The following is a 13523-nucleotide window of genomic DNA, read 5'->3' as shown; positions in this document are numbered from 1 at the left end:
GACTCCAGCTCAAAAAAAAAAAAAAGGAAGAAAGGATACATGAGAAGAAAGTCACAAGTGCCTCCTCATGCCACGGATTAGAGTAGAAATGATGCAGCTGTTTTCTTCATGTGTGCACAAAGATGCTACACACACACACACACACACACACACACACACACACACCTCTCACTCTCCAACTCTGCCTCCTCAGTTCCAAAAGCCTTACCCTGCAGATGTCTACAAGGAAATTCTCAAACAATTTCCACATGTGATTGCTGGTATAAATCTCCTTCATTTCCACCTCTGTATCCACATAGCAGTGATTCAGGAAGTTAATGTATGCAATTTTAACCTGCAAGATAGAAAGAAGCTTTTCTGAAAAACCATCTTGGTGTGTATGGAACTCATTAGCTGCCTCAACTTCACAGCAAGGACCGATGAAAATGGTCATCCCATTCCCCACTGCCAAGTCTTACTTCTATGATTTTCTGATATTTGAAATTCACAATTATGAAATCCAAAACCATAAAGCTTTTGGAAGAGAATATTTTCATGATCTCAAGGTAAAGAATGAGGCAAAACCTCTGACCACAGAACAGGGACAAGTTTGACTATTTGAAATTAAGAATTTCTGTTCATAAAAAGGCACCATTCAAGAGGTAAATGGGCCCAAGTTGGGACAAGATATCTGCAAGGCGTGTAACAATGAAGAATGCCCCTAGATCTGTGCTTATATGATAGATACCCCCAGAGAAAAGGTAAGCAAAAAACCGGATCAGATATTTCTTAAAGGAATATCAAATGTCAAAAAAAAAAAAAAAAAAACACACGGCAAGGGGCTCAACTTCAATTAGGAAGCAAGGACGTAGAAATTAAAACCACTATGGTTAATGAAAACATGTGTCTATACAAAATCCTGTATACAAGTGTGCACAGTAGCATTATTCACAATAGTCAAAAAGCGGAAACAATCCAAATCACCATCAACTGACTGATGGACACACAAAACGTGGTGTATGTATAGAATAGAAAATTACTCAGCAACATAAAGGAACGAAGTGCTGATACATGCTACAACTTGTGTGAGCCTTGAGAAAAATCATGTAGGTGACAAAATCCAGTCATAAAAGACCACATGTGTATGATTCCATGAAATGTCTCAAATAGGCAAATCCATATATTCAGAAAGACAATCAGTTGCCTAGGATTAGGGGGGTTGGCAGGAAATGGGAAGTGACTGCTAATGGGCATGGGGTTTCTTTTTGGGGTGATGAAAATATTCAGTAACTAAATTGTGATGGTGATTGCACAACTCTGCAAATATATTAAAAACCACTCAATTGTACACTTTAAACAAGTGAATCATATCTGTAAACATCTCCATGAAGCTTCTAAAAATTAAGCTGGTATGCGATACTATCATACAACCATCAAATTGAAAAAAATAATAAAGGATCTGATGATAGCAAATGTTAGCAGGGTTGGGAGGAGGAATGGTAACTGGAGCAACCATGCTAAAAACAACTGGACTGTATCACATCAAATTGAAGAAATGCACCTCCTGTGATCCAGCACTTCCACTTCTGACTATCCACACACCCTGGACGGAAGTGTACACATGTGGGCCAGGATGTATGCACAATCCTAACAGCCAAAAGCTGGAAACAACTAAAATGAGCATCAGTAGAAGAATGAAAAACCTATCATGGTGCCACAATAGAAAGGAATGCTCCAAAGCAAAGGAAATGAACGCAGCTACATATCAGGGTGGATCAACCTTAACAACACAGAACTGAACTTAAAAAGGCATGGAATGATACACAGAAGAAGTCCAAAACCTCACAAAACTAAACTATATTGTTGAGGGATGTATACAGAAAAGCAACTGCAGGATTACATAAAAATCAGCTTGTGGTTACCCTCAGGAGACAGCCCTTGGGGGAGGTGAGGACAGGAAAGGGGAATGGGGGGAGGTTTTTGCATATTTCTTGACCTGGGTGGCAGTTACAAAGCTGTTCTCTTTATAATCGTTCTATCGTTCTTGCAGTATACAACTGAGTTTATGTACTTTTTTGCACTTCCGTTGTATTTCAAATAAAAAAGAGTAAAAAACAAACTAATGCTTGTTATAACACGACGCTTCTCTCATCCCTAATACTAGTTATAACTCTACCTTCTTTATCCATAACAAGTGAACTGTAAATTAAAACTATGTTGAAATGACCATTTTCACCTGCCAGATATATGAGAACCCAAAAGTGTGATAACATACTGTGGCCAAGACTGTGAAAAGAATGCAATCTCATTGCTTTCTTATTACAGCAATTAATTATTCATTATTATCTCATTACATCATAAATTAGTTCCACACTTACAAAGGGCCGTGACAGTACATCTATACAATGGCATTTTATGCAACTGTAAAAAAACATCTGGCATCTTTTTATGAATTGATATGAAAAGAAGTTACAGTGTTAAGGTACAGAATAGTATACCTAGAGTATCATCTTCTGCATTTACAAAAAGGGGGTGGGGAAGTAAAGTATATATACTGTATGCGTTTATGTGCAAAATTCTAGAAAAATACACAAGAACATAATAAATTATTTTCTGTAGGGTGGTGGGAAAACAGATTATAAGACTTTTCATGGTTTACCCCGTTACAGTCTTTGATATTTGAACTTTTCAAAGAGTATGGTCAGGTACTGACTAATGACATTTTGGTCAATGATGGGTCTCATACACAACAGTGACCCATAAGATTATAATACCCAATTTTTACTGGACCTTTTCCATGTTTACATACACAAATACAATTGTGTTATAATTGCCTTCGGTACTGAGACAGTCACATGTTGTGCATGTTTGTAGCCTGGAAGCAAGAGGCTGTACCATATAGCCGAGGTGTGTAGCAAGCTGTGCCATCTAGGTTTGTGTAAGTGCGCTGTATGATGTTTGCACAATGAGGAAATCACCGAAGAACGCATTTCTCAAAAGATATCCCCACCACTAAGCGACACATGACTGTTTTTAGCTTTTCAAAATAACCTAAAAACATTATATGATATATGTCATATATTTTAATGTAATATAAATGTGTACTACAAACTAATATTACACATTGTAAAACCTACAATACATACTTTATAATATACTTTATATATCATAAATATATACTTTATAATATACTTTATATATCATAAATATATACTTTATAATCCAGTTTTTCATTACTAATCAATATAATCTATGAGTAGGAAAAAAGGAAGCCTGGAAGGATTAACTTCAAAACTTAGGTATTCATTATTTTTTTTTTTAATTGATTGTCTGTAGTTCCTAAATTTTTTATAATGGCCATTATTTCTGTAATAAGGGTTTTTGTTTTAAAGAATTAACTTACTAAGTCTTACATTCATATGGACTAGATCTCAACCTACTCTTCGTCACATTTCTGAAAAGTTCATTCAGGTCATATCCCCTTTGCTCAACAGGCTAAATTAGTCCACAGAGCTGAAGCTTTTTTCCTCACTGTTCTTAAAGATACAGAAAGAACGACTAACTTCTTCCGTGTTCCTTTCATGCAAAATCAATGCTCGAGAAAATGTTTTAGGGAACTGAAATCCCACTACAAAATGAGCTGCAGCTTTCAGAGCCATGAGGGCTCCCCCAGGCCAGCCACCACCATGTCTCCCAGTGAGCCACGACAGCACACACCACATAGCAACGAGAAGGGCACAGCCAGGCTGGGCTCGCTCACCTCAGGGATGCAGTCCTCGTGGGTCACCACGCGAACGATGTCATCCAGCGGGAGCAGGGAGTTGCACTTGATCTCTGTGTAGACATTCTTACCCTCCGTGCACACAGCCAGGAGCTCGACCAAGTGGATGTGGTACATGAGAGGGCTGTTCTCATCCATCCGATCCCGTTCTGACCGCATCATCTGGATCAGAGTCTGGAAAGAGGCTCTGTCGTTGTAGAACACGAGGACATCCTCTCCCGAATTGACCAGCTACATAAAGAACAGGGTGGGTTTAGATTACAAGCTTGCAGGGGTGGGGCAGCATGAAAAAAATCTATTCACAGAGGAAGAGAGAGGTTCTGTTAGCATTTATCTTCCCAAATCAGTCTTACCTATTTTGACTTCATTCATTTATATAACTGAACAACTAGAAATCTTCAGCATCATAATTTTAGTCCACAGATACAGAAATACCACACTGGCCCTAGAAAGCTATTAGGGGAAGAGAAAGCCTGCATACCAGCATTAATGCATCAAGTGGAAACAGAGATTGCAAGCTTGCACTGGTATTTCCATACCTACCAATTAGGCTATGATATTTCTTTTTAAATGTTTCCATCTTATTTATTTTTTTTGAGATGGAATTTCACTCTTGTTGCCCAGGCTGGAGTGCAATGCCGTGATCTCGGCTCACCACAACCTCCGCCTCCCAGGTTGGTTCAAGCGATTCTCCTGCCTCAGCCTCCTGAGTAGCTGGGATTACAGGGATGCACCACCATGCCTGGCTAATTTTGTATTTTTAGTAGAGACGGGGTTTCCCCATGTTGGCTAGGCTGGTCTCGAACTCTCAACCTCAGATGATCCACCCAACTCGGCCTCCCAAAGTGCTGGGATTATAGGTGTGAGCCAATGTGCCCTGCCTCCATCTTATTTTTATGCTTTACAATGTATCCCCTTTACAATTCTTTCATCTACCATCTTATCTCTTCAATCAACAAATTACTTTTAATTAAGATATGCCTTCCTCTCCATACTTACTCTTCAAAAAGTTGAGGCATTCCTGTTTATAACTTGTCCCCTAAGATGAGGCTTCTTGCAAATTTATTTAAGAATAAATCGATTTCATCAGCAGTACATGAAGTACAAAAAACCCAGAAAGGGCTGGCACAGAAGTCAAAATAAACATGGTCAATACTTACTAATGACTAACCTTTATGAGCTCTAATGATTAGATGCCAGATACCAAGATAAACTCTTTAGACAAACTTCCTAACCTCATTGTATCTCAGTTTCTTCATCTGTGAAACCAGGACAAATACAATAGCTAACTCACAGTGCTATGTAGATTAAATAATTTATTATAGACAAACTGCTTAGGACTGTGCCTAGAGTATGACCGGCTTCCAAAAAGTGTTAGGCATTAATGTCACCATTATCTCATTTACCCCACATATCAACTCTTTAAAGTGAAATCTGCGTATCTTCATGTTATAGAAAAGCTCACTGAGGAGTTGAAAGGTCAAGTAATGTATCTCATGGCACCCTTCAGTGAAGGGGTTCAGGTGACATTTGTATCCCAGGTTGAGCCGACTCTCTCTTTTTTTTATTTTTTTTCTAAGAGACAACGTCTCACTCTGTTGCCCAGGCTGGAGTGCAGTGGGTGCCATCATAGCTCACTGCAAGGTCAAAATCCTGGGCTCAAGGGATCTTCCTCTGTAACTGGGATTATGGGCACATGCCACTACACCCAGCTAATTTTTAAAATTTTTTGTAGAAACAAGGGTCTTACTATGTTGCCCAGGCTGGTCCTGTACTCCTGGCCTCAAGTGATGCTCCTGCCTCAGCCTCCCAAAGAGCTGGGATTACAGGCATGAGCCACCACGTTGGCCTCAACTCTTAATCACACTACCCTCCCTGCCAATGGAACCATATACGTAGACAAGATTGTAAATCAAAGTGAATTCATAATAAACCAAGTAAGGCTTTTCCTTGATTCCACAGACCAACTGCTCCTCAAAAAGCATCAGGCAAAATTTTTTCCATCTAATTAATTAGGTGAATAATTTTTAAAATTCATAATCCACAAGAATGGAAGCGTTCTGGCTCACTGGGTCCTGACTACATTTTATCTCCATTCCCTATAATTCAGTTCCTTATTCCTCTTTCTGTCCCCTGTCAGAAAAATCCAAGCCATCCTTCCTTAAATTGGTTGCTATGAAATATCAGATCAGATTCTTGCCTATATCTACAACTTAAGCTCACACAAGAGATGACACAGACATATGCACACACAATTACTTTCTGTCCTTCTGTATGGCTCCTGAAGAGGGTGCAAGTTCATACAGATAAGATTAAATAATTTTAAAATTTCTACAGAACACCAGATGGAGGTATACAGAAATATATAACAATCACCTCGGCCATAACCATGTCTTGGCATTTTTTAATAAATTTCCCTTCTGCCTTGACAATTGTCTGTAAGAACTTTATATACTGGACATTCCGACCGTGAGTCTCTATGCAGTGAACGAAGTGCTGAACAACTCTCTCGTTGATCTCACTGCAAAGCTGGAAATTGTTCATGAAGATGTGCTGCATGGTTACTGCCTCCAGGATCTGGCACAAGAGTGAGGAAAAGAGCACAGGGACAAGTCAAAAAGCTGACAGAACAGATTAAAAAGTGAGAAAAAGAAGAGTCCACTGAAACACACACAAGGGAAGCATTTAAACCCATGAAGATATGTTTCTCTCATTCTTGCTTCTGTACTACCTTCTTTTTTAGTAAGCTTTTTTCATTGACATATAAATAAACATACAGAAAAGTAAACAACTCATTAGCATTCAGCTGAATAGATTATAAAGGGACCTTGAACACCCAGATCAAGAAACAAAACAGGTCTCCTTTATGCCTTATCTCACAATTTAACTACTATTTTGACTTATATAACCAGATTAGTTTTGCCTGTTCTTAAACCTCTTGCACTCTTTTTCACTGATATGTAAGTTCCATTGCATGAATATATGACAGTATCTTTATTCTATGGTGGAAGGGCATTTGGAGTAGGATCCAGTTTTAATAGATAGTAACATTCCTAGTATTATAAATACTAGAGTTGCTGTGAACATTCTTACACATGTCTTCTGGTGAACTTAAACCCATACTTCTTTTGGGTCTAAGAACAGAATTGTTGGGTCACAAAGTATGAGTATGTTTGGCTTTAGAAGATACTGACAGCTTTCAAAAGATGTTAACAAGTTGCATTCTACATTCCAGCTGTTCCTATCCTTGTCAACACTTAGTATTGTCAGTCTTTTAAATTTTAGCCACATCTTATTGTGGCTAAACATAACTTAATTTGCATTTCTCTGATGTCTAATCATGTTGAACACTTTGTCACATTTACTGGCCATTTGGATATCCTCTCCAACAGGGTGTCTGTTCAAGTTTTTTGCCTTTACGTTCTTATTTACTTATTTATTTATTTGAGATACAGTCTTGCTTTGTCACCCAGGCTGGAATGCAGTGGTGCAATCTTGGCTCACTGCAACCTCCACCTCCTGAGTTCAAGCTATTCTCCTGCCTCAGCCTCCAAGTAGCTGAATTACAGGTGCTCACCATCATACCCAACTAATATTTGTATTTTTAATAGAGATAAGGTTTCACCATGTTGGCCAGGCTGGTCTCAAACTCCTGATCTCAAGTGATCCGCCTGCCTTGGCCTCCCAAAGTGCTGGGATTACAGGCGTGAGCCACCATGCCTGGCCTATTTTTAAAAGAAGGTCAACTTTTTCCTTAGTGACTTTTTTGAGTGTGTTATGTACATTCTGGATATGAATTCTTTGTTGAGAACGTGCATCGCAAATGTCTTTTACTCTCTGCCTCCCCTTTGGATGCTCTTAATGGTGTCAGCGGACAAACAGAAGTTCTTAAAAGAAGGCCCATTTATCAATTTTCAAAAATAGTGTTCTTTGCATGCCTTGTAAGAAAATTTTGCTTACCACACAGCCATGAAGATTCTCATGTTACCTTCTAGAAGGCTTATTTTTCACTTTTTACCCACAGTTATTGAGTTTTATATTTGGGGTGAGGTGGTGGCTTTAATCTTTTTATCTTTTGACTTTTCTTTCTCTTAACATGACACTGAGGGAACACAGGTTGAGTATCCCTCATCCAAAATGCTTGGGAGCACAAGGGTTTCACATTTTGGATTTGGGAATATTTGCATTATAGTCTGCTGGTTGAGCATCCTAAATCCAAACATCTAAAATATGAAATGCTCCAATGAGTGTTTGCTTTGAGCATCACACTGGCACTCAAAAGTTTTGAATTTTGGAGTCTTTCAGATTTCAGATTTTCAGATCTGGGATGCTCAACCTATATTATCCTACAATCCAGCAATCCTTTTTCTGGAAAGTGTTAGCAGTACTACTGAGTGAGTGAGTGTGTGCATGCACAAAGATGTCCTTTGCAGTATTGTTTACAAAGTTAAAAATCAGACATTGCCTAACTGTCCATTAATATGAGAATGTTTTTTTAAAAGTTACAGCCATTCTATGGAATGTCATTTGGCCATCAGAAGAATGAGAAAAATTTATATCTCTCTGATTTGCAAAGGCATCCATAATGTGTTAAGTGAAAAAAGCAGAACACAAGACAATGCATAGAGTGTGGCATCATTTTTCTTTACAAAACCTACAATACATTTAATATACTTCTAGAAATATATTTAACAAACTAAGATGTATTACAGATATGTTTGATATGGAAATATTATATATGTATACATAGCCACAGAAAACTTTATGCATGACTTCAGTAGCAGGTGGCAGGAGAGACATTTAGCACTTCTATATTGCTGAAGTTTGATACAATGAAGGACTTGACTAGGAAAATATAGACACGTATCTTACTTTATCCATCTCACTTTCCTCCTTTTCCCCTCCCCAACTCCTGCCATCTCATCCCCAAAAGATGAGTATTTATGTCCTCGTGATAAGTGATGAAAATGTTCCCCTTTGGAATGAATGTTGCATTATAACAAGCCCCAGAAGCCACAACAGCCAAAGAACAAGCTGTTCCTCCTCCCTCTTCCCTGCCCTCCTCCCTCTATAGATTTGCAGATTGGCCTCAAGTCTTACCCCTGGGTTGAGAAACAGGTTTATGTGTTTATGTAGCAAAGCTTGATTCTGCTGGTTGCCTGCGCAGAAATTCTGCAAAAATTCATGAGCCAACCTCATTATCTCTTGCATCTTGGTATCTTCGGCCTGTGTGGGAGGAGACAGATGAAAGCACTGATTGCTGGGCCAGGAGACCAGCTTCTCCTATACCCAACACCTCCTGCTAACGTGGGAGTCAGAAGGTGTTTGCTGGGGACCTGTTGTGGGTAAATATTGAGGGGCTGCACTGCTGACGCTGAAAAGAAGCCAGTAACTTGTCTATGCTCATTGGATGAAAGTGAAGATCTTATTTGGGTGGGAGGGAGCACTGCAGAGTAAGGCTAATAGAAGGCATCCATGAGTCCATTATCCAGCAAGGACTGAAACTTCTGAACCCCCTACTTCTAAAGACAGGGACGGGCTGGGCACAGTGGCTCATACCTGTAATCCCACCCCTTTGGGTGGATCACTTGAGGGCAGGAGTTTGAGAACAGCCTGGCCAACATAGTGAGACACCCATCTCTAACAAAAGATAAAAATAATAAAAATTTTAAAAGTAAACAAAAACAGGGACTGACAACAGAACTGGGGCTGACTTCCTCACTGACGCTGAGTAGTCATTTTCCCTCTTGGGTTCACCTTTTTAAGTTGTCCGACCTATTAGACATTAACTTTTGCCATCAGCTCCCATGGCAAAGTGGAAATCTCCTGAGATCACACATTAGAGCAACTGTGCCTGCCGTAACTCCTCTATCATCCCAAGTACAATTTTTAACCTCAGACTTAGTTTTCCCATCAGCAAAATGGGGATAATACCCTCCCTGGCATTTCACGTGGTTGGATTATGTGATTCATACATTAATAGCATAAACTCAGTATTTTAGAGTTAAATATTCCGTAATAAGCCAATTCTATAAAACCCATGGCCATTTTGTCCAATTCTAAACAAGCAAACATTTAAGAGAGTAAAAACAGAACAAGAATTTCTAAACTGGAAATCATCCTTCATATTCTTACAGCCCACAATAGTCTTCCTAAGTCTTCACAGCCATCACCTCATTTCAGAGGCAAGAGAGGATAGCAGGTAGGAATGCAGGTCACCAAACCTGACTGCGCTACTCTTATCCCAGATCTCCAACTTCCTGGCTGTGTGACCTGGAGCACATTTCTTAGCCTCTCAGTGTCGCTGTTTACTCATCCGTGAAAAGGAGATAACAAAAGTGCACACTTCATGTGATTGTTATGAAGATTAAGTGAGAAAAGTCACATGAAGTGCTTAGACAGTGATTACTCTGTAAATGTTAGCTTTTGGTTCCGGGCTAGACTGAGGTCAGCAAGCTTTTTCTTAAAGGGCAAGGCAGCACATACTTTGGGCTTTGTGGGTAGAGAGGGAGTATCAAGGACATTATGTAGGTACTTATGTGACTATTTTAAAATGTAATAACCATTCCTAGCTGATATGCTGTTCAAAACAGGTGGTGGATTAGATTCGGCCCATGCCTGTAGTTTGCTAACCCCTGGTCTAGAAAAATAACTCTGTGACAAAACAGAGTTGTGGGAGGAAGGTGAGCTCCCAGCTTTGACAATCAAACCAAAACAGAGGAGAATTTACAAGGACATTAATAGCAAGTCCCAGGACAACATAATGGGGATTACATTTGTCCCTTATTAACAGGAGGGGTGGTGAACCTTCTAGCTCTAAGAAATCAGAGGGCTTGGGACAGACAGCCACTGCTGGTTGACAGCTGTAACCTTAAACAGTTCCACACACCTCCAGTCCTTCCGTATAAAAGGAATCTGCTGGTGCACAAGCTAAGTGAAGAACCCTTGTGGTGTGAAGCGGATTTTTCCAAGGAAAGCAAGCCCCAAAGACATCAAGTCACAAGAGATTACCTGTGGGGGATTCCTCCACCGTTCTTTGGAAGTCTGTGCCCATCCAAAAGCAAACAAAAGCGTGCACATGTACACACACAGATATACACACACATGATATTCTTCCTTTGAGTCACCAATTCCAACCACATCTGGTTACCTGTAGATTAAGCCTGCTCTATGAAGGCATAACTCTCATTAGGGAAACTGATGATATTATGAGACAACACTATGGTTAGCAAATGACCCCCTCGCGTTCCTTACACACAAGGAAGTAGATCAGCTTGTTGGTTCTAGTCTAAATGACAGGCAAAGTTTGGATGATAATGCACACCTGTATCAACTACAAGTTAGCTAGGTATTATACCTACGACAGGGATTAAGCTTGGACTTTATTTATAGCTACCGAAAGGCCTGACCTGCCCGATTCATATGGTCCCCATGACTGAGGAGGAGGATCCTTTCATAGGAAATTTCCTGGAGTAGAAGGCGACAGGCATAGGGAAGGCAGCAGGCCCCAGATCCACAGTGAAGTGGAGCCAGTTTCACTCTACACAGCTGTGCCATCCACGCAAGTTACTGAACCTCTCCCGCTGCAGCTCTCTCATCTAAAATGGGGCTAAAGATAGCACCACCCATCTCATCCACGTGTCTTGAGGATGGCATGAGCTAATAATGTGTATAAAGGCCTCAGCATGGCGCCTGGCACCCTGCAAGCACCTAGAAATGAGCCTTCATCAGGTGAGTCTTCTCTAGCAAATCAGTCTCTCTAGCAGTTAATAGTCAACTCAAGAGACCTGAGTCTGAGCTTTTCACCTCTAAACCTCCCCAAGCCTCAGTCTCCTCATCTGTCAAGTGGGCACAACACAAATACCCGAGTGGGTCTTGTAGGCTTGAATGAATGATTTCATAAGTGTCTTGTCAGCCTACATGCATGCAAAGCACTGTCAGCCTGCTCCTGCCTCCCCAAATCAAATACGTATCAATGACAAACGCTAATGTGAAAAATTAGAGGCAAAGTACAACTTCCAGCAACAGAAAAGAAGACCTAGATCAAAGCATCACCTGATAAATCCAAATACTTAAGCAGATGTCAGCGTCTTACTGAGGACTTCAAAAGTGGGCACATCCCATGTTCCTACATGCACTTAATAGCTGGTGATACTTAAATTGGTTGAGTCACATTGCAAATGAAATTGAAACACACCAACTCATGGGTAGATATAGCTCTAAGCTCTGACACAGACCAAGTTGTCTCTATCCAATATGTCTTGGGAGTATGGAGAATAAATGGACTCTCTTTCTTTACAGAATCTTAAAACTGGGGATGAGGATTATTCACGGGTGATTTTACTTTATTTTTCAGATGCTCTGTTTCATATCAATACCTGAAATTGCTTTGTAGTCACAATAGTCACACTGGATGCATTTCTTCACTAACAATATCCAGATGTGAAGAGTTTGGGGAAACCCAGGGATCCGCCCCATCCTGAGAGCAGCTGCTGTGCATGAGGCACCGCTCACCTTCTCATAGGGAATCTGCAGCAGCTCCAGCACCACGGCGTGCGCGCCCATGTTCCGGAGCAGACGCTGTTGCTGCTTCCTGCTCTTTCTCACTGAGGCACTCTCTTGAACACAGAGTTTGCTAAGCCGAATCAAAATCTAGTAGAATGAAAGAAATCAGTCTCAGAAAACTAGGAACTATAGCTGGAAAAAGATTGCAGAGGGTGGTGGCGGGCAGGGAGGCAAAGGGGATTATAATGCATTAAAAACGTAAAACAAAATTCCTTCAGTATGTGGCATTTCTGTTGACTCCATCAAGCCAAATCCATAAGACTAAGGTCACGTCTTCCAGAATAAGCAGGGGATTATGGCTTCAACAACAAGTGGGACAGTTTCAGAGATATCGCTTAAAATGGAATGACCTGGCATCATTGCCGAGACCCTGGGAAGAGTTTGCTCTGGGGTAAAACACACAAAGCTCCCAGCCTCCCAACTTTGAACCAGCGTACGCAAAGGTTTCTAAAAAACTACAGCTCTCAGTGGGGACACTGTGTACCAGGCACTTAGATGACTCCCTGACAGTATTCTCAATTAGTCCTTCCTTCAATTGTAAAGCTTCAGAAATATGCGGTGCCTACGAAAGGTTGCACCTACAAAAGGTGAGGAAGCTGAGGACAAAAATAATAAGTAGAAGAGCTGGGTGTGGAGCCCAGATCTGATGCCAAAACCCATGAGCTTAACCTCTGAGCTCTACTTTCTCCCTGTTAAACCACATGAAGAAAAAAGCTCAAATGTGTGTACCTTCAACTTGACTATCACAAACTAAAGCTCCTTAGAGAATTCATAAAGAAAGGAAAAATGGTGGTGGGGGAGGAGCTTACCTCTTTGACCACTCTGTAGTTGTAGCTGCTGGTGCTTTCATGCTTTTGTGGCTTGTTATTTCCCTCCTAGAAACCAAAGTGAACACAAGTGTGATCTGTACAACTCTTGGGCTACTGTCAGTTTTTTACAGTTAGCATCGACCTTTAGGAAAGAAAGGGAGTTCTATACTGTTTTACAATAGTCATGCTGGGCTTATGCCCCAGTCATCTACCTACTTGCTATGGGTTTCCTTGGGAAGGGATAGTAGTGGGCTGGGCCATGCCTAGAGAACAGGTCAATTCCCAAGTGGGTCTGTAAGGGAAACCTGGTGCTAATTCACTCAATATCGCAGTCTCTTCTACATGGTCCAAGGCTGCACAGGAGACATAGCTAAACTTTGATTCGTAGC

The 13523-nt window shown here is 40.5% G+C and overlaps 1 protein-coding gene across 4 annotated transcripts in view; it reads right to left on the bottom strand.

Annotated features, from left to right (window-relative positions):
* The window catches only part of ITPR1 (inositol 1,4,5-trisphosphate receptor type 1), a 354159-nt gene that overhangs the window by 150026 nt on the left and 190610 nt on the right, over positions 1-13523 (bottom strand). For all 4 annotated transcript variants that reach the window (NM_001378452.1, NM_001099952.4, NM_001168272.2 and 1 more), the window contains 6 exon segments: positions 13135-13200; positions 12275-12412; positions 8861-8986; positions 6137-6337; positions 3740-3991; positions 209-334 (listed from right to left, as the gene is read on the bottom strand). In NM_001378452.1, coding sequence (NP_001365381.1) covers positions 209-334; positions 3740-3991; positions 6137-6337; positions 8861-8986; positions 12275-12412; positions 13135-13200 — 909 coding nt within the window.

The sequence above is a fragment of the Homo sapiens genome, chromosome 3, assembly GCF_000001405.40.
Source record: "Homo sapiens chromosome 3, GRCh38.p14 Primary Assembly".
NCBI lineage: Eukaryota > Metazoa > Chordata > Mammalia > Primates > Hominidae > Homo > Homo sapiens.
This window is presented reverse-complemented; position numbering and strand designations above follow the sequence as displayed.